At 50.2% G+C, this 26,884-nt stretch overlaps 1 protein-coding gene across 8 annotated transcripts, besides 2 other annotated features; it reads left to right on the forward strand.

Annotated features, from left to right (window-relative positions):
• KDM8 (lysine demethylase 8) lies at window positions 8,018–26,260 on the forward strand. 8 transcript variants are annotated; one of them, NM_024773.3, is made up of 8 exons: window positions 8,018–8,128; window positions 14,585–15,113; window positions 18,077–18,243; window positions 19,368–19,500; window positions 20,437–20,481; window positions 23,453–23,602; window positions 24,885–24,977; window positions 25,058–26,260. In NM_024773.3, exons 2-8 carry the CDS (start codon window positions 14,616–14,618, stop codon window positions 25,220–25,222), a joined length of 1,251 nt encoding a protein of 416 aa, NP_079049.2. In that variant the 5' UTR covers window positions 8,018–8,128; window positions 14,585–14,615; the 3' UTR covers window positions 25,223–26,260. The 8 variants fall into 8 exon arrangements, with proteins under 8 accessions (NP_079049.2, XP_016879165.1, XP_047290611.1 ...); NM_001145348.2 differs by lacking the exon at window positions 8,018–8,128 and adding an exon at window positions 8,467–8,667; XM_017023676.2 differs by lacking the exon at window positions 24,885–24,977.
• Window positions 8,063–8,222: an enhancer, noted in NCBI's record as "active region_10610". NCBI's record gives its function as "activates an Ori minimal core promoter by ATAC-STARR-seq in GM12878 lymphoblastoid cells {active_cell/tissue: GM12878}" and the evidence as "EXISTENCE:reporter gene assay evidence [ECO:0000049][PMID:35858748]".
• Window positions 21,173–21,965: an enhancer, noted in NCBI's record as "H3K27ac-H3K4me1 hESC enhancer chr16:27228002-27228794 (GRCh37/hg19 assembly coordinates)". NCBI's record gives its function as "activates a minimal SCP1, AML or CMV promoter by ChIP-STARR-seq in primed H9 embryonic stem cells {active_cell/tissue: H9 hESC(primed)}" and the evidence as "EXISTENCE:reporter gene assay evidence [ECO:0000049][PMID:30033119]".

Consider the following 26,884-nt stretch of genomic DNA (forward strand, 5'->3'; position numbering starts at 1 on the left):
GCCATTGTAACATAGTTGTCATTGCCTGAACATGTGCAAACTTGGTTGAAATTCCTCACGTAATGACTGGACAACAGCAATCCATCAACGCCTACTTGGCATGGAAGAAAATGCTTCCCAGTCACCCCTTGTACCACCAGCAGGAGCATCCAGACTTTGGGGAATTTTGCTCTAAATCACCACCACAGTCTCTCCTGCCTCCACCCCAGCAGACCAGCTGTTTTTTTCTTCCTGGAACAATCTCCCCTCCATGGCGAGGTATCTGAATTACCCCCTTTCCAGTTATTTGTTGCTGTGCTGTCTTAAAACTTAGCAGGATACAATAACCATTAAACTATGCTTGCAGACTCTAAGGGTTGGGAAATGGCACAGAGGAGATAGCTTGTCTCTGCTCTATGATGTCTAGGGCTCAGCTGGGAAGAGGCATATGGCTTGGGGCTAGAACCTTCCAAAGGTTCATTCATGTGAGTGCCCAGCTCCTGGGCTGGGAAGACTCCTTATGAGGGAGTGCCAGGCTCCTGAGTGCTCCAGCAAACGAACAGAAGCTGCATCGCTGTCTATGACCCAGCCTCAGAAAACCCATAGTGTCACCTCTGCCATACCCTACTCAAGCCTGCCACTCAAAGGGAGGAGCATCAAAGCATTTGCAATCATTTTTTAAAACTGCCACACCCTTCTTTACCTTTGATCTGAACCTGTGACATGTGCCTGTGGTTCTCCACATGTCACCTAACATGACACACTCCTCACAGTTATTGCTATTTATTATTTCTTTTTTTTTAGAGTCAGGGTCTTGCTCTGTTGCCCTGGCTGGAGTGCAGTGGCATGATCATAGCCCACTGCTCACTGCAGCCTCCCTTGAAGTTCAGGGCTCAAGCAATCCTCCCACCTCAGCCACTCGAGTAGCTAGAACTACAGGCATGCGCCACCACGCCCAGCTAATTTTTTTTTTTTTTTAGACGGAGTTTCGCTCTTGTTGCCCAGGCTGGAGTGCAATGGTGCCATCTCCGCTCACTGCAGACTCTGCCTCCTGGGTTCAGCAATTCTCTTGCCTCAGCCTCCCGAGTAGCTGGGATTACAGGCATACGCCATCACGCCTGGCTAATTTTGTATTTTTAGTAGACACGGGGTTTCTCCTTGTTGGTCAGGCTGGTCTCGAACTCCCAACCTCAGTTGATCTGCCTGCCTCGGCTTCCCAAAGTGCTGAGATTACAGGTGTGAGCCACTGTGCCTGGCCGAATTTTTGTTAGAGACAGGGTTTCACCATGTTAGCCAGGCTGGTCTCAAACTCCCGACCTCAAGTGATCCACCTGCCTCGGCCTCCCAAAGTGCTGGGATTACAGGCATGTGCTATCATGTCTGGCTTTTTAAAATTTCTTTGTAGAGATAGGGTCTTGCTATGTTGCCCAGGCTGTTCTCGAAATCCCAGCCTCAAGCAATCCTCCTACTTCAGCCTCCCACAGTGCTGAAATAACAGGTGTGAGCTGCTGCACCCAGTGTATTTATTAATATTACATCTTTAATTGTCTAGGACTGTGAGTTCCTAAAATCTAACTCAGATCATGTCACTCTTCTGTTCAAAACCCTCCAAGGGCTTCCCATTTCACCCATAACAAAAGCCTAAATCCTAACGACATCCGGTAAAGCCCTACAAGAGTTACCCCCAAGTTATCTCTCTGACGTCATCAGCTTCTACTCCCCAGCTTTTGCTCCCCACCACCAACCACGATGACCTCTGTGCTCCTTCTTTAGATGCCCAGCACACCTGCTGTTCCCTGTGCCTGGAACTGTCTTCCCACACATGGCCCCATATGACTTACTCTCTCACCTCCTTCAGGTTGCAGCTCAGGTGTCACCTTATCAGAGAGGATTTGAGCACTCCATGCAAACCAGCAGCCCTCACCACACACACATATAGCACCATTGTCCCCCTTCCCCTGCTTGAGTCATAATATATATAACAATGCACATAATTTTCTAATTTCCTGTTTCCCGCCACTAGAACATGGGCAGGGATTTGTGTGTTTGTCCACTGCAAAAATCGCACCAAAATTTGACATCATCCTTCATCCATACCCAAGCCTTCTGACATGTGACTTAAAGCCTCTCCCATCAAGTAATAGATTCTCTGTCAGCTGCCGTAACTCATTCCTGTAATCCCGGCACTTTGGGAGACTGAGGCAGGGGGACCACTTGAAGCCAGGAGTTTGAGACCAGCCTGGGTAACATAGTCTGGGTAACACTTCTCCAGGCATCGGCTACATTTCCAAAAATGTGGGTGCCATCTCCCTCTGTGTTTTCTGGAAAGCTAGTGAAAATGCAAAACCCTGGCCAGGCTGCTGGCTGGTAGCTGGACCTGACTCCAGAACTACTGAATCGAAATATCCAGAAGCAGTACCCAAGAACCTATATTTTAAGAATTTCCACACTGCCCACAGGGGTCCTTGGACACAGAACCGGAAGGGCAGCCTGTGCCATTACCAGCAGGTGAGTGGAGGGTTGGAATAAATAGATTCTGGGACAGAGGGAAGAACAGAGAGTGTAGCTTGAGACATTTAACTGCCTTATCTAACCATCACTACCTCCTGGGGAGGTCGGTTATCATACTGTGAAAGGAAAATAAATCTCAGGATCCCAAAATCACTAAGCCAAAGGGAAAAGTCAAGCTGGGAACGGCTTAGGGCAAACCTGCCTCCTATTCCATTCCTAAAGAAGATGGCTAGTAAGATAAAAAAGCTACATACCTCCTCACAATTTGTCCACAAGGGATTTTCTTATGGACTCAGGACAGACAGAACTCACAGTCACCCCTCCGCTCACTGAGAGAAATGCATATCTGATGGATTCCTTTGGAAAGGCTAATCAGAAACTCAAAAGAATGCAACAATTTGTCACTTATCCACCTATGACCTGGAAGCCCCTTCCCTCCTTCGAGTTGTCCTGCCTTTCCAGACCAAACCAATGTACATCTCACACATATTGATTGATGTCTCATGTCTCCCTAGAATGGATAAAACTAAGCTGTGCCCCAACCACCTTCGGCACATGTCATCAGGACCTCCTGAGGCTGTGTCACAGGCCCGTCCTTAACTTTGGCAAAATAAACTTCCTAAATCGACTGAGACCTGTCTCGGCTATTTAGGGTTCACAATACCTATTTCATGAAGACGACATAGAAGTTAAGAAGAAATCACTTATGCAGATAGCCTTTTACCCTTGTAAAAGGCCTTTCTTTTTCATGAAAAGCAGCCCCAAATCATTTTCTAACAAAGAGCAGCCTGTAAAGTTGAGCTGCAGATATAGACAAGCAAGCTGGGAGCTTGCATGGGTGAATGAGGGCAGGAACTAACAACTAGACATTTTCAAGATGGTGGCTCCATCTTCCCTTCTCTGCCAGCCACATGTACTGTAAGAAGCAGACAAGATGGCGCTGATCAACTGGAAAGCCCATTTGCATAATAAGATTAGGGTGAGGTGACTAGCCTTCTGCACGCACTATGTAAACGTCACACTTGATCTAACCAATCTATGAGCCCCATGTAAATCAGACACCGCCTCCTCAAACTGGACTATAAAATTTGCGCATTTGCTGCCAACCAGTCTTTCCCACTGAGACACCCCTTCCTCGATAGAGGAAGCTGTTTCTCTTTCTCTCCTCTTCTACCTATTAAACCTCCGCTCCTAACCTCCTCATGTGTGTCCATGTCCTAAATTTTCCTGGCTGCAACAATGAACCCCAGGGTATATATCCCAGACAACATAGCCACTTCAGAGGTGGACACTGAGGCTCAGACAGAAAGTATCCCGGTCTGCCTTACTTTATGTTGGGGGCTATTTGCTTGTACCCCAGGGGAACCCACTCAACAAAACACCTGGTATTTTGCTCTGAGTCTTCACGCAAGGTCATTTTAGGCTTGCTAGCTCCCGGCTGAAGGTCACATGCTGAAATGAAATTGAAAGCACAGAATAACTAAGTGAGCAGACCCTCCACCTGGAAAATCCAGGTGGCATCAGTGGAAGAGCCAAGACATGGGAGGTTTTCATGTCTATTTTTAAGCAATTGAAGTAAATTAAATGTCTCTTTCATGGCCAAGCTACACGTTGTTTGCAAGTTTGGAGCTTTGTTTGTATGTATATATTTTAAATAAATTTGATAATTAAGTCACGAATGCTCCCAGCACACTTGGATATATTTAAATTACAGGCTTCTGATCAAATGGAGAAAAATCACAAATATGGGCCTAAATGATGCCTTTTTCTGTTCAGTGGCTTTTGCAGCATTCAAATGGGTCTGTCAGCTTAATGGCCAATTCTAAGGCTGCTGGGAATGACAGGAGGTGGAGGGACTGGCAAAGAGACTACAGGAAGTGAAACCCTGTGGTGAAAAATTGTGGTTCTTTTAAGAAAACATTTCATCTGCGCCTGTAATTCATTTCAACAAGCCAGTTTTGAAAACACAAACAAGCTGGTAAAAGGGGTGTTTGTCTCTGCCTGACTGGCAGCACTCCATACCCACCATTAACAGCCAGTTCCTGAACACTGTGGCTTCTGGAATCAGGGGGTCCCAGGTCAAATCTCCTTTGGTCCTTGCTGTGGTGCCTGTCTGGGCAAGTTGGAGATTCTAGTGCCCGCCCTACTGTAGTCTCTGTAGAGTAACTGCCCATCCACTGTCAAAACAAATTCAGATCTAGTAAAGAGTGGCTTTTCCCATCCCTATGTCCTGAATGGTATTGCCTAGGTTTTCTTCTACAGCTTCTATGGTTTTAGGTCTTATGTTTAAGTCTTTAATCCATCTTGAATTAATTTTTGTATAAGGTGTAAGGTAGAGATCCAGTTTCAGCTTTCTGCATATGGCTAGCCAGTTTTCGCAGCACGATTTATTAAATAGGGAATCCTTTCCCCATTGCTTGTTTTTGTCAGGTGTGTCAAAGATCAGATAGTTGTAGATGTGTGGTGTTATTTCTGAGGCCTCTGTTCTGTTCCATTGGTCTATATATCTGTTTTGGTACCAGTACCATGCTGTTTTGGTTACTATAGCCTTGTAGTACAGTTTGAAGTCAGGTAGCATGATGCCTCCAGCTTTGTTCTTTTTGCTTAGGATTGTCTTGGCTATGCAGGCTCTTTTTTGGTTCCACATGAAGTTTAAAGTAGTTTTTTCCAATTCTGTGAAGAAAGTCAGTGGTGGCTTGATGGGGATAGCATTGAATCTATAAATTACTTTGGGCAGTATGGCCATTTTCATGATATTGATTCTTCCTATCCATGAGCATGGAATGTTCTTGCATTTGTTTGTGTCCTCTTTTATTTCCTTGAGCAGTGGTTTGTAGTTCTCCTTGAAGAGGTCCTTCACATCCCTTGTAAGTTGGATTCCTAGGTATTTTATTGAATGGGAGTTCACTCATGATTTGACTCTCGGTTTGTCTGGTATTGGTGTATAGGAATGCTTGTGATTTTTGTACATTCTACTATAAAGACACATGCACACGTATGTTTTTTGCAGCACTGTTCACAATAGCAACCAACCCAAATGCCCATCAATGATAGACTGGATAAAGAAAATGTGGCACATATGCACCATGGAATACTATGCAGCCATAAAAAAGGATGAGTTCATGTCCTTTGCAAGGACATGGATGAAAATGGAAACCATCATTCTCAGCAAAGTAACACAAGAAGAGAAAACCAAACACCACATGTCCTCAATCATAAGTGAGAGTTGAACAATGAGAACACGTAGACACAGGGAGGGGAACATCACACACTAGGGCCTGGCAGGGGGTGGGGTCCTGGGGGAGGGATGGCATTAGGAGAAATACCTAAGGCAAATGACAAGTTGATGGGTGTAGCAAACCAACATGGCACATGTATACGTATGTAACAAACCTGCACGCTGTGCACATGTAAACCAAAACTTAAAGTATAATTTTAAAAAAATAAAAAAGAAAAATCCTATTTGAAGGAAACAAAAAAGAGTGGCTTTATTTGAAAGGATTATTGCAAGGTGCAGGAGGGACTTTTTTTTCTTTTTTTTTTGAGACGGAGTCTCGCTCTGTCATCCAGGCTGGAGTGCGGTGTCTCGGCCCACTGCAAGCTCCGCCTCCCAGGTTCACACCATTCTCCTGCCTCAGCCTCCCGAGTAGCTGGGACTACAGGTGCCCGTGACCACACCCGGGTAATTTTTTGTATTTTTAGTAGAGACGGGGTTTCACTGTGTTAGCCAGGATGGTCTCAATCTCCTGACCTCGTGATCCGCCCGCCTCGGCCTCCCAAAGTGCTGGGATTACAGGTGTGAGCCACCACGCCTGGCCAGGAGGGACTATTATAACAGGGGAAGGGAGACTTGCAAAAGAGAGTACACTGTGGCCACAAGGGTTAGGCCAAAAAGAGCTTTTCTTTCATAGGAAGAAGAAAACAAGGCTAGAAAGAACCTGGAAGTGGGGTGAAAGGGTGACATGATGGGTTAGTAGATCAGAGAATATATCAACCTGAGGCCAGCCTATTCTGAGGAGGGGCTGTCTGCTGGCCCAGGCCCAGGGTGAGCCAAAGTTCAGGGGCCTGGAGGAAGGAAAGAATCTTAACCAAAGTGGTTGACCAGCGTTTTATAAGGATTGATTAGTGGGACAAGCAGTTCAGGTAATCACTTATAAGACAATGAATGAGAATTGGAGGGTCTGTGTCCTGTTTACCTGCTCTCACAGGTAAACAATGGGGGTGGTGTCTTGGAGTCTTATCTAAATTCTCTTGTGGGGGTGGGGGGTGATTCTTTGCAGTAAACTTTTTTCCACAACACAAAAGGGTGAGAGCAATTCCTTTTTACTTTTTTCCGGGGACACAAGACTCAGGGAAAATTCAACATTGTCACTACTCAAGGGTGGAAACTTAGTGTAGCACATAACCATGAGGATTCTAAACCTGTGGCTGCTGAGTTCAAACACCAGCATCCCAGTGAGCCTGGTGGGTTAGGAGATCTTTCTGTGCTTTACTTGCTCCCTCCCTGATATGGTTTGGCTGTGTCCCCACCCAAATCTCATCTTGAATTGTAGCTCCCATAATTCCGTGTTGCGGAAGGGCCCAGTAGGAGATAACTGAATGATAGGGGAGGTTCCCCTCATACTGTTCTCCTGGTAGTGAATATGACTCATGAGATCTGATGGTTTTATAAGCGGTTTCCCTTTTCACTTGGTTCTCATTATCTCGTCTTCCACCATGTAAAACGTGCCTTTCACCTTCCACCATGATTTTGAGGCCTCCCCAGCCATGTGGAACTGTGAATCCATTAAACCTTTTTGTTTGTAAATTGCCCAGTCTCGGGTATGTCTTTATCAGCAGCATGAAAGCGGACTAATACACTCCCTAAAATGGGGATGAGCATGATCATTACAATAGCTACGATCCTCATATTTTTAAAGTATTTTAGCACCGTACCTAGAATCCACTAATCTATGAACTGATCCTGAGCAAGCCTGTTTCCTACTCAGACCCCAAGCTCAGTACGAACATAACTTTCCATGCCTCTGTGCAATGCTGCAAAAGGCGTGCATACTTGGAGTCCACAGGAGTGTGTGCTCAAAACACAAAAGTCCCAGTGACCACGCACCACTCGGCATCAAAGCAAAGGTGGCAGGAGTGTGTCCCCTGGCCACTTGCCTTCTCACTCGAACAGACTGTGGATGCAGCACTTGCTCGTGGGTAATTGTGGATCTGACTTTCCAAAAGTACAAGTATGTGGCCACTTTAATCACTGAGCCTCAGTTTCGCTCTCTGTAAAATAGGGAGAACTAATAATCCTAGCTGCAGAGATTAAATGGTGGATGCAAACAGCCTTGTACGAAGTTGTTATCTGTGCAGAGGAAAAAGCGGTATCACTAGCGTGGAAGGACCCAGAGGATACAGCCAAGCCTTTCTGTCTTCTCCATCCCCCGGCCTTTTAAACAGCAGTGGGGCGGGGCCACGGCATCGATCACTCGGCGCTCCTCCAGGCACTGCGTCGTGATCAGACGAGCGGTGAGCGATCGATACTCCTATGCTAGCCTCTGGCTCCTCAGGGGACACAGCCGAGTGGTCGGACCAAACGCAACGAGTCTTCGCCAGCCCAAAGGCGACTCGACACCGTCCCAGCTGAAGAGAGGTTAGTCTGAGCAACTCGAGAGCGGAGTCAGCTCCAGTTCCTCAGAAGTGGAGAGGCCGGGTTCAGAGGCATAGACCGCGCAGGCGTCATGTGAAGCAGCCAAGCCCGGCCTCGCGCGTGCGCCTTGGAAAACCCCGAGGGTGGCTCGAGTTGCCGCATGCGCTCTGAGAATGCAATTTAGCTCGTCGCCGGCCTGCCCTGCGGGAGGATAAAGGGAAAGGTTCCGCGCGTGCGTATGCTCGTCTCTTGGCAGTGGTTTTGCGCATGCGTGAGGGCAGGCCCTTACGGCGGGCTGCTGTGCGCTTTAGCGGTTCTTGGCGTCGCGTTGGTGTAGGCCTAGTGCGCCTGCGCGGGTTTTATACTCTGCTATATGTGTGTCCGCTGCTTTTAGGCAACCAGCCGCTGCCCCTGGGCCGCAAGGCAGGCTGGAAACGATTCCGCCGTCAGGTCCCAAATATGAGCCGCGAGAAATGCAGCCCCGGGGAAGGCGCTGAGGAGGGAAGGGGGTCTGAGGCCTCGGGGCTCAAGGCCAGTGCGGGGTACGGGGGACCCTCTGGGGCCTGGGTGTGTGACTGCCCTAAGGAAAGGTGCTTGTAGCTCGGTAGGACTTAACGATGGGCATCGGTGCGTTTCCCGGCAACGGTAGGAATCGCCGTGCTCAGGAGGACTCGGGAGCAAGCCCGGGGACAGGAGGTGCGCAGGCGTTGGGGCCACACGGACGACCCAAACACAAGACTGTGTGCCCCTTAGAGAGCCAAAGGGATCCCTGTGCCATGAATTAAAGCTTTCTGGAAAATGTTCCAAACTTTCCTGGGAAGTTTTACGAAGCTCTTGTTTTTGCACAATTTTTGTGGAATACTGCCATAATAACATTGAGGAGATTAGAGAACTGGACCGCCTGTTCCCAGAAAGCTAGGTGTAGGCTGATCTGTCCTGGAAGCCCCTTTTGGGAGGCTTTCTCATGACCAGCATGGTGCTTGCAGAGTGCCCACCCTGAGACCCTCTGCAAATCACAGTGAGGCTCTCGGAGAGGCCATTCCACCCAGCCACCTTAAAGAATACTCAGGGAGGTGCTTTAGAGGAGTTGATGTTTAAAAATAATTTAAGGCTGGGCGCGGTGCCTCACACCTGTAATCCCAGCCCTTTGGGAGGCCGAGACAGGCCGATCACTTCAGGTCAGGAGTTCACAAGACCAGCCTGACCAACATGGCGCAACCCCGTCTCTACTAAAAATAAAAAATTAGCTGAGTGTGGTGGTGCACATCTGTAATCACAGCTGCTTGGGCGGCTGAGGCAGGAGAATTGCTTGAACCTGGGAAGCGGAGGTTGCAGTGAGCCAAGATTGGGCCAGTGCACTCCAGCCTGGGTGACAGAGCGAGACTCCGTCTCAAAAAAAATAATAAAAATAATTTGAGAGAATCCTAGGATGACAGGGCAGTGGCTTCCAAGAGGGATATATCCCATAACCTACCAGGGACCTACTTTGCCAGTTTGCATAGTGAATTCTGCCTGGATGGTGAATTTATAAAGTCCAGGCCTGAGTCTATTCCGGCTGTTTTATACAGGTTATACTTGGCTCCTTTTTGTTTAGTACGACCAACAAGAAGGCTTTTATAAGATTCATTTTAGTCTTATTTATAAATCCAGGAGAAAAACCACTCAGAGGTTAGCACATAACAGCCTATATTCTGACCTTCTTTGCAAGATCATTTCATACACCAGCAGACAAGACTTTATGTAAGGAGCATTTAGGGGCTGAATCAAGTCCACTCAAAAGCTGTTTTATGCAACCCACACTTGATCTCCCCCTGAAAGCTGTTCCAGGTTATGAGGCCAGTTCACAAAGCCAGGACATAAGCCCACTCAAGCTGTTTCTATACCTGACCGCCCCCCTCCCCACAAAAATAAATAAAGCCTTCTCTGGGCCGGGCGTGGCGGCTCACACCTGTAATCTGAGCACTTTGGGAAGCCAAGCAGATCACCCTGAGGTCAGGAGTTCAAAACCAGCCTGGGCAACAGAGTGAAACCCCGTCTCTACTAAAAATAGAAAAACTAGCCAGGCACAGTGGCGGGCACCTGTAATCCCAGCTACTCAGAAGGCAGAGGCAGGAGAATTGCTTGAACTTGAGAGGCAGAGGTTGCAGTGAGGCGGGATCGCACCATTGCACTCCAGCCTGAGTGACAGAAAGACTCTGTCTCAAAAAAAATAAAAATAAAAAAACCTTCTGTGATCAACAAGAGGTCTTTGAAGGCCAATACCTGTTGAGCTCTGGGAGACTGATTTGTAAAGTGAAGATACGAGGCCACTCAGGCTTTTTGATATGGCCCACATTTGGGTTACGGTAGGTGTCAGTTTGCCTAGAATAACACCAGTTTTTTACTGATGCAGACATAAATATTAATAGCATCTTGGTTTGGATGACCCACCTATACCTGGCCACTAGAAGGCTATCTGTACAACTCCCAATAAACCCTTTTATGTAGAGCTCTCGAAGGCCAGTCTGTGGCACCACTCTCAAAGACTGCTTCACACATCTTTTTTCTTCTTGCAGGGAACTGGCAAGTCACACATCTTATTCTTGACTCCCTCCTTTGGAAGCCTGTTTGTTTAATGTAAGCCTTTTGTGTGCGTGTGCTTTTTTTTTTTTTCGGGAGGGACAGACTCTTGCTCTGTCACCCAAGCTGGAGTGCAGTGGCTAGATCTCAGCTCACCCCAACCTCTGCCTCCCAGGTTCAAGCAATTCTCCTACCTCAGCCTCCCGAGTAGCTGGGATTATAGGCGTGGACCACCACGCTGGCTAATTTTTGTATTTTTATTAGAGATGGGTTTTCACCATGTTGGCCAGGCTGGTCTCGAGCTCCTGACCTCAGGTCATCCACCCTCCTCAGCCTCCCAAAGTGCTAGGATGACAGGCGTGAGCGATGCACGTGGCCTTAATATAAGACTTTATAAACAGCAATTCAGTGAGGAGTTCTGGGAAGCCAATCAATAAAGCCAGGCCATAAGGCTACTCTGGCTAGTCCTTTCCTCTAGAAAACCTCTTGATACAACAAGAAGCCTTTTTATCAGACCAGTATATGGGAAATGCCAGAAGGCTGATGAGCCTGGACCTGAGGCCATTCAGAAAGGCAGTGACCTGTGGCTCGCACCTGACCTTCCCAGGAGGGCCATCTCAAGTGGTTGGTGGTGTGAAGGCTGCTTCTCATAGCCCATGAGGCCAGTGACCCTGGAAGATTGTTTCATACAGCCAGCAAGAGAGTGTTTCCCCAGCCAGACCAAGACTCCTTCTGTAAGGCCATTTTGCATGGCTAACAGGAGCCAATGTGAGGCTGCTCCCAGCGGGGTAGATGGACACAACAAACAATTCTTTCCTGGCACAATGAAGAAACCACAGATCGATTTGTAAAACTAAGACAAAATCTGACTTCACCTGGTCCTCAGACAAGCCCCCATCTATAGGAAGGCCAGTTTTTAAAACAAGTTACAAGGGCCGGGCGTGGTGGCTCACACCTGTAATCCCGGCACTTTAGGAGGCTGAGGTGGGTGGATCACTTGTGGTCAGGAGTTGGAGACCAGCCTGGCCAACATGGCGAAACCCCGTCTCTACTAAAAATACAAAAATTAGTCGGGCGTGATGGCATGCGTGCCTGTGGTCCCAGCTACTCAGAGGCTGAGGCAGGAGAATCACTTGAACCTGGGAGGTGGAGTTTGCAGTGAGCCGAGATCGCATCACTGCACTCCAGACTGGGTGACAGAGCAAGACTCCATCTCACAAAACTGCTTTGGAAGACTGCTTCCTATACCAGGATGTGGCTGTTTGATATGGTAACTACATAAAAGGCCAAATCATGAGAGGTTTGGGGAAGCCTATGCAACAAGGCAGAAGACTGATGCGGCCAGAATGCCACTTCACCATGCTGCCAACATAAGGCCTTGTAGGAGGCTATAGTTTTATTTTTTGAAACAGGGTCTCACTCTGTCACCCAGATGGGAGTGCAGAGGCACAAACACAGTTCACTTGCAGCCTTAAACTCCTGAGCTCAAGCAATCTTCCTGCTTCAGCTCCCGGAGTAGCTGGGGCTACAGGTGTGTGCCACCATGACCAGCTAACTAATTTTTTAATTGTTTTTAGAGACAGGGTCTTTACATGTTGCCCAGGCTGGTCTCGAATTCTTGGGCTCAAGCAGTCCTCCTGTTTCAGACTCCCGAGTAGCTGGGATTATAGGTGCCCTGCTGGGGGATAGTGTATAATAATCTTGAGGCCTTTGGGGAGGCCATTTCAAGTGGCTTATACAGAGGCAATCTGAAAAGCCATTTTGAAAACAAACTTATACAGCCATCCTGAAGCCTCTGTCTCTGGAAAACCATCATATATTGTCAACGTAAGTATCTCTGAAGGCCTTTTGATAAGGCCGTTCATTGAAGAACTCTGCATTAAAGAATAATCATAAGGCTATTTCATGTGGCCAAGAGCAGATAGTTTTGTACAGCCAACTCACAGTATTAGGAGGCCATCTTTCCCAGAAGGCTGTGTCCATTGGCCTTCAACATGAGGTCTCCAAGGCCGATTTGCAAAGTAGCAGATAGGCCGCCTATGAAGACCAAACATGAGGCCACCCTGGGAGGCCAGGTGACAAAGCAGACACGGGGCCACTGGGGGAACCTGGCTACAAAGCCGCACACGTGAGGCCACCTTGAGAAGCTGGCTTGGTAAGGCTGATAGGCGCCCTGTGAGGGGCCGTTTTATAAGGTCACCCTGAAACACCAATTTACAAAGCCCGTAATCTGCATTGCAGAGAACAGGTTTATAGCCCATTTGAAACCCTCTGGGAGGCTGTTTTCTAAGGCCATCAAGAGACAGGTTTACAAAGCTGGTACATAGAGCCCCAGTGGAAGCCAGTTTTATAGTAGGGCAATAAATGGTCTCCTGGGAGGCCTTTCCACTGGCCTTTATGAGAAGCCAGGATATGAGGCCCCTGAGGTCTTTTGGATGCTCAAGATGAGACTTCTCCATGTTGCTCTATAAGATTCATGTAAGCCACACACGGGATGAGCCAGGAGGCCACCCAGGGAGGCCAGGGATGGGCCCATGTGGTGTCTTGTGCTGGCCTAGTGGATAAGTCCATGCTGGAAATTGGACTGTGAAACGCTCCAAGAAGGCTGTGAATGAGGCCAACACAAGCCTTCTAGGAGGCTAGAGATAGAACCCACCCTGGCAGGCTGGGGCTCTCTGAGCCCTACCATACCCTGAGCTTGCTAGAAAGAAAGTTCATTGTGAACCAAGAATGGAAATGAACTCATTATAAGCTCAGCCCTGTGGATACAAAGTCCAAAGAGCTCACCCTTGAAGGCAATGAGTGTTCTGGGCAGACACTGCCACTTACTGTGTAGTTTGGCACAAATTGCTTAACCTCGAAATCTCAGTTTATTCATCTGTAAAACTCCCATCATAGGATTGCAAGGGACGTGTTAATCTATGTCAAGCATGCAGCATTGACATGGCGCACAGGAGAGGGTGCTGAGATCAGCCAGAATTTAAGCCCTGCTTCTGCACAAATGATTGACCGTAGGCCTTGGGGCAAGTCACTTCATTTTTGTTTTTTTGTTTTAATTTGAGTCAGGATCTTGCTCTGTCACCCAGGCTGGTGGCATGATCTCGGCTTACTGCAACCTTTGCCCCCAGGCTTAAGTGATCCCACCACCTTTAATCTCCTGAGTAGCTGGGACCACAGGCATGTACCGCCGTGCCCAACTAATTTTTGTATTTTTTGTAGAGACGGCGTCTTGCCATGTTGGCCAGGCTGGTCTTGAATTCCTGAGCTCAAGTGATCCAATTGCCTCGGCCTCCCAAAGTGCTGGGATTACAGGCGTGAGCCACCATGCCGGCCTTCTCGAATACTTTTCAAAGCCTGGCACTCCTGAGTGACTGCCATGAGGCAGACTCTGCTTTTAGGCTCTGGGAAACGTAGGGGAATGAGCTACGTTCTTGCCCTGGTGGAGCTGGCAGTGCAGTGTTGGATAGACACACGTGTAAGCAGGTGTTTTCATACATCCTGACGAGTACTGTAAGAGAAGCTCAAGGGCTGCAGGAACACAGAACACTGTTGGAGAGTCTTGGCAGGCCTCACATAGGGATATTTAAGATGGGCTTTAAAGGTTGGGTAGGAGTTTGCCAGGCAGCGGAGGGGTATGGGAGGCACTGCAGATGAGGACAATACACGTTCCTTTCTGAACAGACGTTTATCCAGTGCTTGCTGAGTACCAGGTGTTGCGCCAGGCCCTGAAGATACAGTGGTGACCCCAGACAGATGAGGGCCCTCCCCTCCAGAGCTTCTGCCCAACAGAGAAGACTGCTGTTGAAAAATCCTCGCAGATGAGATGCAGGAAGCTGCGGGAATGCACAGGGGATCAGGTCTGTCCTGGTGTCTAACTCTTGTTTCTCTCCACCTCCCCAGGCACGGGACTGAACCAGCTGGTGGTGGCCCGATGGCTGGAGACACCCACTGCCCCGCAGAGCCCCTGGCCAGAGAAGGCACTTTATGGGAGGCCCTCAGGGCGCTCCTGCCGCACAGTAAAGAAGACCTGAAGTTGGACCTCGGGGAGAAAGTGGAGAGGAGCGTGGTGACATTGTTGCAGCGAGCCACTGAGCTCTTCTACGAGGGCAGGAGGGACGAGTGTCTGCAGAGCAGCGAGGTGATCCTGGACTACTCCTGGGAGAAGCTCAACACGGGCACATGGCAGGACGTAGACAAAGACTGGCGCCGGGTCTACGCCATCGGCTGCCTCCTGAAAGCCCTGTGTCTGTGCCAGGCACCTGAGGATGCCAACACTGTGGCCGCAGCCCTGCGGGTCTGTGACATGGGCCTGCTGATGGGGGCAGCCATCCTGGGGGACATCCTTCTTAAAGTCGCTGCCATCCTCCAGACACACCTCCCTGGAAAGAGGCCTGCCCGTGGCTCCCTCCCAGAGCAACCCTGCACAAAGGTATGTGGGGGAGATTCTCCCCAAGCACACTAGCCATCCAGCAACCCTGTTGTTCTAGAAATTCCGAGTCATCTCTCCCCTGGGGTGAGGCCTCGTGGCCTGCAACCCCTCTGGTGGAAAACAGCATTGCCATTGATTTTGGATTTCTGTTTGTTTTTGGAAGCAGGGTCCCGTTCTGTCGCCCAGGCTGGAGTGCAGTAGTGTGATCTCGGCTCCTTGCAGCCTCCACTTCCTGGACTCAAGCAATCCTTCTGCCTCAGCCTCCTTAGTAGCTGGAACTATGGGTGCATGGCACCACACCCAGCTAATTTTTTTAGTTTCTTATTTATTTTTTATTTTTTGTAGAGATAGGGTCTCATGTTTCTCAGGCTAATCTGGAACTCCTGGCCTAAAGCAGTCCTCCTGTCGTGGCCTCCCGAAGCACTGAGATTACAGGTGTGAGCCACCGTGCTCAGCCCCCATTGACTTTGGAAATGGAACAGCTCCATTCATTTTCTCTCTTTTTTTTTTTTTTTTTTGCAAAGGCAGCGCCCTTTCAGCAGAGAGGCAGCAGAGAAACTTCGTGGTTCCTGAGGGAAACAGCTTAAAGCGATTGTGTGGGTGAGAGCTGCAGCCAGCGGCAGCCCGTTTCTTTCAGCTTCTTGGTGGGCTTGCTGAAGTCTCACCCAGGCGAGGCGATACCTCCAGCTGCTCCTGTCTCTCTGCTCCTGGGTTTGGATGAGATACTACAACTAGCTGATGTCTGTTTTGGGGTCAATCTCTCCCACCCCTTGGGTCTATGTGCCTGTTCCAAAGAGCACCCCCAGGAACAGAGCATGGTTTACTCTGAAGGCTTCAGGTCCTGGTGCCAACACACAGGCCTCACTTGCAACACACCCAAGCAAGTCACTTAACCTCCTTTGAGCCTCGGTTTCCTTGTCTGTAGAGTGGCAGAGTACTGACCCACAGAAAGAAATGACTAAGACTGTACTAGACACTTGGTAGTGGAATTATGGGATGTTTCTGACATTTTTCTAAATGCTTTGCTATGTTTTCCGAATTTCCTACAATGCATATTATTATTATTATTATTTTTGAGACGGAGTCTCACTCTGTCACCCCGGCTGGAGTGCAGTGGCGCAATCTCAGCTCCCTGCAACCTCTGCCTCCCAGGTTCAAATGATTCTCCTGCCTCAGTCTCCCAAGTAGCTGGGATTATAGGCACCCACCACCACGCCCGGCAATTTTTGTATTTTTAATAGAGACAGGGTTTCACCATGTTGGCCAGGCTTGTCTGGACCTCAGGTGATCCACCCACCTCAGCCTCCTAAGTGCTGGGATTACAGGCGTGAGCCACAAATTATTTTTATATAAGAAAAATGCAAGTGGTTGACACTAAACACACAGGCATGTAACCAAAATAAAAGAAAATCAAATAAAGGGAGAAGAAAATTTTTCCACAAATATGTCAGACAATGAATATCTCTATTACGTAAGGAATGGTACAAATCAATAGGGAAAAAATCTTGAGCCCCAGGAGGTAGAAATCCAGGAACCTGAACAGACTGTTCACAAGAAGGAAATAGATCTGTTAAACAAATGTGCAGGAGAATGTTCAGCCTCACCTCTGGTTAAAAAAATAAAAGAGAGAGATGCAAATAGCAAAACAGCATTTCATCTTTGGCTGTTAAGTTAGCAAACAAGGCTTCATATGATACCCGGTGTTGCCAAGGGCACCATGTGGCCAAGGGCATGGGGTGTGGGTTGCTCTTTTGTTTCATTTTTTTTACAGACAGGGTCTTGCCCAGTCACCCACGCTGGAGTGCAGTGGCACAATCATAGCTCTCTGCAGGCCGGGCATGGTGGCTCACGCCTATAATCCCAGCACTTTGGGAGGCTGAGGCCGGCAGATCACCTGAGGTCAAGAGTTCGAGACCAGCCTGGCCCACATGGTGAAACCTCATATCTACTAAAAATACAAAAATTTGCTGGGCGTCCTGGCACATGCCTGTAATCCCAGCTACTCTGCAGGCTGAGGCAGGAGAATTGTTTGAACCCGTGAGGCAGAGGTTGTAGTGAGCCGAGATTGTGCCACCGCACTCCAGCCTGGGCAACAGAGCAAGACTCGGTCTCAATAAATAAATAAATAAATAAAACATAGCTCACTGCAGCCTCGACCTCCTAGGCTTAGGTGATTTCTCCTACCTCAGCTTCCCGAGTGGCTGGGACTACAGGCATGTACCACCACGCCGAGCTTTTTAAATTTTTTCTAGAGCCAGAGGTTTCTCTATGTTGCCCAGGCTCGTTTCAAACTCCTGGGCTCAAGCAGTCCTTCCACCTTGGTCTCCCAAAGTGCTGGGATTACAGGTATGAGCCAGTGTGGCTGGCCATTTCCCAGCAGGTTCACACCTGTGGACACTGAGGTTCTCAAGCAGCAAGTAACTTACTCAGGTCACCCAGCTGGGAGATGGTTAAGGAAATGATGGTGCAGCCACTCCTAAGAAACTGTAAGGACCGGGTGGCCATGTGGAAACTGCTTTTGATAAATGATTGGAGGGGAGAGGCAGGGCTGCTGCTTCATCATTGCTGTTACTCCCAGTGGGTCAGAGATATTTTGCGTGTGTGTGTGTGTGTGTGTGTGTGTGTGTGTGTGTGTGTGTGTAAGATGGGAAAAGAATAGGAATGAGAAGACCTTAAGATGGTGAAGTTGGAGATAGTAAGTTTTCCTTTATTGCAGAATGTCTGTGAAAGCAGTTTATAATGAAACAAACATTTTTGATGAAATGGTTAAGAAAAAAACCACCTTGATCTCATGAGGAGCAAATAGTAATAGTAGCAGTAATAATAACAAACGTTGTCTATTGTTGTTACTGGTACTCTTGACAGCTAAGCTCTCCTACCCCTGACACAGGTTCCTGGTGGAATACCTCAAATGTCGACTTCCTGAGGTGGTTGCTATTTTGTTCTGTTTTGATTTTAAACAGAAAGCAAGGGCGGACCATGGTTTGATTCCAGATGTGAAGTTAGAAAAAACAGTCCCCCGGCTGCACCGTCCGTCCCTCCAGCATTTCAGGGAGCAGTTTTTGGTTCCAGGGAGGCCCGTGATCCTGAAAGGCGTGGCTGACCACTGGCCGTGCATGCAGAAGTGGAGGTGGGTGGTCGCTGAGGGAGGTGAGGTCCCTTTTCCCATTTTAGCGTTCCCCAGGGCTCCCTGAATTCCTCCCGACCATCCCCAGGGAAATGCAACCTTGTAGATGCTTCACTAGCAGCCCTTGACTGATTGCCAAGGGGTTAAAAAAGAGTGAAAAGTAAGGTGCTCTGAATTTATGCCGCAGGTTATGGGATTCTTACCTTCTACCTTGCTCGCCTTAAGCGGTTTTTTAATGAGTCCCTAAGTGGCAGTCCTAGAATGTTTCTGTTATGCAATTTTACAGGATCCTAGCAATTTCAGACCATCTCAGGGCCCTGAAGCTAAGAGCAGAAATAACCCAAGAGACAGCCCCTCTCTCTCTGAGGGATTCTGTGGTCTCTTGTGTTTGTTTCTAGTCCTTTCTCAGAATCATGATGGGGAGATCAGATCAGGCAGCTGGAGCGTGGCTGTCATGCCGCGGCTCTGCATGAGTTTGGAAATAAGGAGGCATCTCTCCAGGAAGGTAGATGGAGTCCGCCTGTTTTGTGGTTTCGCGGAGGGAATGGTACCCGCTGACACATGTGGAGGAATTCTCATTGCAGGAGCTCTCCTCACAGCAAGGCTTCATTAAGCATTTTACTACGTACCTGGCACTAGGACAGGTGTTGTCATCACCCCCATTCTGTAAATGGGGATCAAGGACTCGGGTTCAGTAACCTGCCTCAGATCCCCTGGCCTGTAACTGATGAGGCCTGGAATCAGTCCCAGGCTAGAGGGCAGAGTCCAGGAGACTGCCACCTGCCACGCTGTCCGCTATTTGTTCAAAGGTTTCTCAGCTTAGTGACAAAATGAGCAAAGAAAGAAGTGAGGAGGCTGTTGGCAAGCAGGGAACTAGAGCAGCCCAGCCAACCAGACTTACCGGCCCTGTCTGCAAAGCTGCACAGCACTGTGTATGAGCCACACAGCCTTGAGCAGGGAGCCCCACCTCTCCATGCCGGTTCCTCATCAGTGAAGCTGGGGATGACAGTCCTTGTCTCTGCACGTGAGGTTTTCCGAGGATGAAAGGGGACCACATGCAAAGCACACTTAGTACTATGCCCAACAGATATTAGCAGTGACGATGCCAATGTGTGTCTTTCTGCTAGTTTGGAGTATATCCAGGAGATCGCTGGCTGCCGAACTGTCCCAGTGGAAGTTGGTTCGAGGTACACAGATGAGGAATGGTCCCAGACCCTCATGACGGTCAACGAGTTCATCAGCAAATACATCGTGAATGAGGTACATCATGGGGACTGCTTTCCCCTAGTACTTGCAAGGCAGAGAGCATAGTACATTTAGGCAAATAACCCCCCATGTGTTGTAATGGGAGGTTTTGGAGGAGCCAGGCTGTAAGTCTGTGGTCGGAGGGACGACCGCAGCGAGGAAGGCAGGCTGCTTAGCCAGCAGACATGAGGGATTCATGTCAGGTCCTTTTTAATGGGCAGGGGAGTATAATTCAGTGGGTTTTAGCCTGTTCCAAAAGTTGGACAGCTAAGTCTAGAGTATGTGTATTTAAATTTTTAATAGCAGCCAGGCATGGTGGCTCACACCTGTAATCCCAGCACTTTGGGAGGCTGAGGCAGGCGGATCACTTGAAACCAGGAGTTCAAGACCAGCCTGGGAAACATAGTGAAACCCTGTCTCTATAAAAAATATAAAAATTAGCTGGGTATAGTGGTACGTGCCTGTAATCCCAGCTACTCAAGAGGCTGAGGTGGGGCAAATTGCTTGAGCCCAGGAGGCAGAGGTTGCAGTGAGCCAAGATCAGGCCACTGCATTCCAGCTTGGACAATAGAACCAGGCCCTGTCAAAATTACGACAGGACAGGATAGGACAATTTATTTTTCCCAAAAGTTAGATCACTTATACTTTCACCAGCAATTAACACAAGTGTCCATTTTCTTACATCTTTGCCTGCACTGTTTGTTGCCATTTTATGAAAATGTTTGCCAATCAGATGGATGAGATCAGTGCTTTACAAACTGGGTACCCCGGTGCTGGAGAGGTTCTTTGAAGCTGCCCCAGGGCCTCTAAGGGTTGGAGAGGACCACTCAGGATGGAGTGGAAGGGTGACGGGTGCTGCAGCTGGGGCCAGCTGGACAGCAGCAGCAGGAGGGCATCTGTCATGACTAACTGGGCTTTCTGTGTTGCCTCTGGTTTTCCCCGGTGGATTAGCCAAGGGACGTCGGGTACCTTGCTCAGCACCAGCTCTTTGACCAGGTAAGTCTGAGGCCACGCACCTCTGCCCCTCACCGTCTCACCTTCCCCTCTCCTCCCCTCCTGGGCTCAGTGCGGCTGGAGCAGTGAGCGTGAGTAGGAGGGAGGCAGCAGGTGAGGCTAGGAAGGTGACAGGACGTGGGTGATGAGGAGCCATTTTCCTAAAGTGACAGGAAACACTGGGGGGTCGCCAGTGCCCCGAGGATTGTAGGGGCTGCTATTCAGAGATGAAGGGAGCAGCTGTCGGAGCGGGTGGCTGGCTGGGCTATTGCTGTGGTGCAAGGAGAGGTGATGCTGGCAGGTGGAGCAGTTCAAGACCGGTGTGAACCACCGAGCCCTGGACGTGGGTGGATGTGTGGGGGAGGGAGGGAAGATCGGGGAAGATGCCCAGATTCAGGACCCCAAAACACTAAATAGATGGAGCTGGGGCGCCCAGGAGGGACCTGGCTGGTGTGGTGTCTGCCAGGAGTGCCCAGGAAGGCAGCCCTTGGCAGGATTCAAGGATAGGGCCAGGTGCGTGTCCCGAACGTGGAAGACTCGAGTCAGTCAGGGTCAGGGCTACAGCCAGGGGTGGGCTGGGGCCGCACCTCTGTAGCCTTTGCAGTGGGGCCCTGGGATGCTGATCAGCTGCTGTATCTACTGCTGAAGCCAGGACTGCTTCTCTGTCTCGATGGGGGACCCAGGGCCAGTAGGGGCTGTGCCAGGAGCCTTCATGCCGACATTAAAGGACGCTGGCGGTTTCTCTTCCCCAGGCCTCCCTATTAGGACCTGTGCATCCTGCGTCCTGTCCATGTCACTTGCTAAGTGAAGGAAAGGGGGATTCTAATTGATCAGGTCCCTACTGTGTGATCCCGAGACCCACCTTTCTCCTGACCCTGGTCATCCTGGGGGCATGGCCTCAGTGTGGGCTGGGGACCCTGGAAGCCATGGTTAACCTTGGCTCCCTGTCCTGGAGCAGCTGTTTCATACTTTGTAGGACAGGAGGAGTTATATTTAGGAGTAGAAGGCCAAGTTCACAGTGACTTTCAAGATGAGCCAGGACTTGAAAGATGTTTCGGGTAATGGAGGGCCGCCTGGGTGTTTACCTTGGGTCCCAGAGCTGAGTGTCTACCATGCTGTGGAGAGGACCCTGGAGAAGTCCCAGCAGCCCATGCCCAGGTGTTATCATGCCGTGTGGCAAGGACAGTGTTCTAGAACCTTCTCTACCTACAGGACGCTCAGGGACTCCTACCAAATTCTTGTCCCAGAACCTCTTATTGACTTTTCTCCCAGGGACCCCGTGTTCTAGAAGATTTTGGCCATCAGTTTAAGCCTGCCTCAGTTATTAGTCACATCTCGGGAGCACTGATTCCCTTCGGGTCTCTGCATCCTCGGCCAGTGATTCTGATGACATGATCTGGTCAGCCAATCACCTTTCAGAAATCCTGATGATGTCATCAGGGACCAATCATAGTTTCTGCTCAGATTCCACAGGGCCAGTTCTGGTCAAAAGCAGCAGCGTCGGGTTACCTTTGGGAGGAACCCCTCACAGCCCTGGGAGGGACCTCAGCTTGCGAACTTGTACTTCAGTCCTAAGCAGCAGGCGCGGCTGCGTTTCTGCACAGCTGATTTGAGACAGGTTCTTAAAGGTCTGAATAGCAGTGTCTGGGACCAAGCTCCCTGCAGGGAGAACATTCCAGCTTTTCCTGGTACACACTGGTTTCTGAGCCAGCAGCCTGAAGTTACCGTCACTGCTCCCGAAGGAATGGTAGTGTCCACCTGCAGGTGCCTTCAGGCTGCGGAGCAGTGACTCTTAAAAAGCCCTGTGTCCCTCTGGCAACCCTGTTTTCATGCCTCTCAAGCTTGAAAAATGCCGCCAGGTCCATCCAGGGTCCCGTGAAGAACCCTGGGGTTCTCGGTGGCCTGGGGGGTGTGGGCTGGTGGCCTGCTCTGGTGGGTTCAACCCCGGAGGTAACTGAGGTGCCTGCTAAGGGTCTGGACAGGAAGTGGACTTAGAGTGAGTGTGTTTTCACTCTGAGACCCTGGCTTTGTGTAAAGGAGGCCAGGGCCATGTGCAGTGGCTCATACCTGTAGTCCCAGCACTTTGGGAGACCAAGCAGGACCAGCCTGGACAACATAGCAAGACCCCATCTCTACAAAAATAAAATTAGCCAGGCACGGTGGCATGCTCCTGTGGTCCCAGCAATTTGGGAGGCTGAGGCAGGAGGATCGCTTAAGCTCTGCAGGTTGAGGCTACAGTGAGCCATGATGGTACCACTGCACTCCGGACTGGGTGACAGAACAAGACTGTCTTTGAAAAAAAAAATTACAATAAATAAATAAAGGAGGCCAGGCCACTGCGGCCCTGCCCCACCGTGAACATCCAAGATCGCTTGATGTGTGGCATATAACTCTGTCAGAGGCCATGGGGAGCCGCGCCACCCTTACTGCATCATATAAAGCTCAGAGCACAGACCCAGGCCCACACCTGCCTTTCTCGTCAGGCAGTTTCTCTTCTCTGCCCAGCCTGTTTCTGCCAGGTATGGCAACAAATCCTCTGTGCCTACCCTGGCTTTTAAAACTAGGACGGCAAGGGCCGGGTGCGGTGGCTCACGCCTGTAATCCCAGTACTTTGGGAGGCCGAGGCGGGTGGATCAATTAAGTCTAGGATTTTGAGAGCAGCCTATGCAACATGGCGAAACCCTGTCTCTACAAAAACAAAAATTAAAAAAAAATTAGCCGGGTGTGGTGCATGCTTGTAGTCCCAGCTAGTAAGGAGGCTGAGGTGGGGGGATCACTTGAGCCCAGGAGGCAGAGGCTGCAGTGAGCTGAGATCACGCCACTGCACTCCAGCCTGAGAAACAGAGCCAGACCCTGTCTCAAACACACACACACATAATGGATATAGGTATGTGTTTCTGACTCTTCGTTGGCCTCCGGGCTGCGGTGTCCCCAGCCGGATCCCCACATCTCATGTCTGCTCTGCCGCCCACAGATCCCGGAGTTGAAGCAGGACATCAGCATCCCCGACTACTGCAGCCTGGGCGATGGGGAGGAGGAGGAAATCACCATCAATGCCTGGTTTGGTCCCCAGGGAACCATCTCCCCACTACATCAGGATCCCCAGCAAAACTTCCTAGTGCAGGTTGGAGCTGCAGCTGGAATAGTGGCCTTCTAACTCCTCCTGGCCCAGACACCTGGCCGGCCACATTCTCTGCCTTTAAACACCGGGCTCTTAAAAAGAAACAAGAAGCACTGAAGGGGATGAGGACAAAAATATAAAGCAAACCCACAAACGGCCCCAGGCCCAGGAAGGCCTCTGCAGTCGGTGCTTCCAGAAGCGGCTCCTCCTGCATGTGCTCCTCCCAAGATCCCTCACAGGGGAGCCCTCGGGAGAGGGAGCGAGTGCTGGTGTGGGTGCCCGGTGCCTCTGCCCCTCCCCGCCTGCTACCCATGCGATCCAGACCAGCTTCCAAATAGGAGGTGGCAGGTTGGGGGAGGAGTTTTCTCAGTCACTGGGAGGTTTTTTTCCTGAGGCCCAGTCAGAGGAGCAGATGGATTTGCTGCAAGGGGAGGCACCTCTGTCTACTGCTGTAAGACCACCCTGGTTTTCGCAGGCAAAGAGAGGTTTAGTAAAGGAGAACGTTCTCCTACCCCAGCAGACCAGTCCAGAGAGGCAGCCCAGGAGTGGGCTAAGAGCTGGGCTTCGGGAGCCAGCGTGCCTGGCGCAGACAGCAGCCCTGCCACACCTCAGCTGTGTGAGCTTGGGCAGCTCATTTAATCTCTCTGTGCTTCAGTTTCCTCACCTGCAAAATGAGAGTGAAGATAAACCACCTCAGAGAGGATTAAACCAGTTAACACACATAAAGCACTTAAGCAGTGCCTGGCACAGACAAGCGCCTAATAATTGTGGGCTCCAAAAATGAAGTTATTTTTCAAAATGTATTTGGAAGAAAAACATACCTTAGGCCAAGTTTGGTAGTTCACACCTATAATCCCAGCACTTTGGGAGACCGAGTCAGGAGGATCACTTGAGGCCAGGAGTTCAAGACCAGCCTGGGCAACATATTAAAACCTAATCTCTACCAAAAATAAAAATACAAAAATCAGCTGGGTGTGGTGGGGCATACCTGTAGTCCCAACTACTGGGGAGGCTGGGGCAGGAGGATCTCTGGAGGCCAGGAGGTCGAGACTGCAGTGAGCCATGATCGTACCACTGCACTCCAGCCTGGATGACCGAGTGAGACCCTGTCTCTAAAAAATAAAAAAGAAAGAAAAACATACACGTGGAACCATAAGCATGTGTGTGGTGGGGAAGGGCAGGCTGGGCCCAGGGAGCAGCATGTGGAAGGGCACAGAGGCCAGAGTGGGCTTGGGGCAGCAGTGGAGTGAGGCCACCAGCTGACTGTCAGGGTCTCTCTCCCCAGGTGATGGGGAGGAAGTACATCCGGCTGTATTCCCCGCAGGAGTCAGGGGCTCTGTACCCTCATGACACGCACCTTCTCCATAACACGAGCCAGGTGGGCACTGGGGGTCTGGGGTGACGTTGCAGGTTCTCCCCACTGCCCCTGGAGATGATGACGTCCTTTGCTTTCTTCAGGTTGACGTGGAGAATCCCGACCTGGAAAAGTTCCCCAAGTTTGCCAAGGCCCCATTCCTGTCCTGCATCCTGTCTCCTGGAGAGATCCTGTTCATCCCGGTGAAATACTGGCATTACGTGCGGGCTCTGGATTTGAGCTTCTCGGTCAGCTTCTGGTGGTCGTAGCCAGGATAGGAGCTGAAAGGGCCTGACATGCAGACAGCATTCATCTGTTCACTAATTTCCTGGGTCCTGGAATCTATAGAGACAAGCAGGACTGAACCTGTGTCCTGAAGAGCCTTCACTGCCCAGTGGCAGCCCTGGGGGGCTGAGCTCCAGCACTGGACAGGCACAGAGCAGGGGCTGCCCAGGAAGGAGCACACTCCAGGCCAGGGGTGCATGGCAGAGGAAGGTGGGGAGAGCCCAGAAGGACATTGCAGACAGACAGCCTGCATGGGGACTCTGGCATCAGAAAGCCGAATGTTTTTGGGAAACGGGTGGGTCACACAGGCAGGGGTGAAACATGGGCTCTGAGGTTGGCTACCTGATTCAAACCCGGCCGCGCTGTGCACCTGCTGGGTGACTTGGCCAGGATCCCCCACTTCGCTGTGCCCATATGGAAAAGAGGGCAAGGCCAGTCCTCACTGCCGAGGGCCGAGAAGGCGGTGCCGAGCCCCTGCTGCTGCATGAACCTTAGCCGCTGTCACTGATCCCAATTACTCTGATCCTTTTGCCCTTCCTTCCCATAACGGCCTGCTGGACGCCACAGCCTGAATACTGGAGAGAGCTGGGCATTGCCCAGGTCACAGGAGAGAGTCCGTAGAGACCTGCGCAGGAGCCGGGACCCCTGCTGAGCAGTGGGAGCTTTCTGTCATCCCCATGGCTCAAGGATAACCTACCTGCCTGCAGAGAAGTGCGAAGGTCTTGCTGGATGACTTTTCACCCGCACTCACCCAGGAGCAGGCTCCCAAGTGAAGAAACCACCGAACCATCACCAGCTCCTAGAAGCCTCCCTCCTACCACCTTCTAGTCACCATCCCCCAGAAGTAATGACTCTCAAACCTGGGGGATTTGAGGCCAGGGGGAGAGCCAGGCTCTATGCTTTCTGTAATTGTGTCTCGTTTGTGTGCACGCAGGTTTGTTTTATGTTTTGGCCATTAAGATTTTCCCCAGCCCTCTGTTTTTTGTTTTTTAAACTAAATAGAGATGGGATCTTGCTATGTTGCCCAGGCTGGTCTTGAACTTCTGGGCTTAAGCAATCCTCCCACCTTGGCCTCCCAAAGTGCTGGGGTTACAGGTGTGAGCCACATGCCAGCCTTGGCTTCTTTCTTCCCCGCTTCTAAGATAGGCCTGGGGAAAAGAGCCCTGAGGGTTGAGCTGCCATCCTGCCAGCATCCTGCCACTGGCTCAGCTGCTTGTCTTTTAGCCAAAAATCAAGCAGCCCCAGGAAAGATTCTGGTTGGCCAGGAGGTAGCTACCCTGGGGTAACTAGAAGGGGGATGGGAAAGTGGCTGTGGGCAGCTGAACTCCAGCTCCTGATGCCCTCTACCCAGGCCAAGGAATTTGACTTTATCGTGTAGGTCCTGGGGTTCTCAGCCTTTGAGCAGACACAGCAGAATCTGCATTCTCGAAAGCTGGCTGTTGGCAGGGAGAGGCCGTGATACTCATCCTGGGAGTGGGCTGCCGAGGGGCCATGGGCGTGCTGGGGAGTGACAAACACAAGAGCTATCTGGAAGCTGAGTCCACTTGGCTCCGTGGGCAGCTGTTTGCAAGGACATTGTTTATTCCCTGCCATGGTTAATAGTGAATTACCTAATCTTTCACAGGAAGAATTTACACCAGATGTCA

The sequence above is a fragment of the Homo sapiens genome, chromosome 16 (assembly GCF_000001405.40).
Source record: "Homo sapiens chromosome 16, GRCh38.p14 Primary Assembly".
In the NCBI taxonomy this organism is placed as follows: domain Eukaryota; kingdom Metazoa; phylum Chordata; class Mammalia; order Primates; family Hominidae; genus Homo; species Homo sapiens.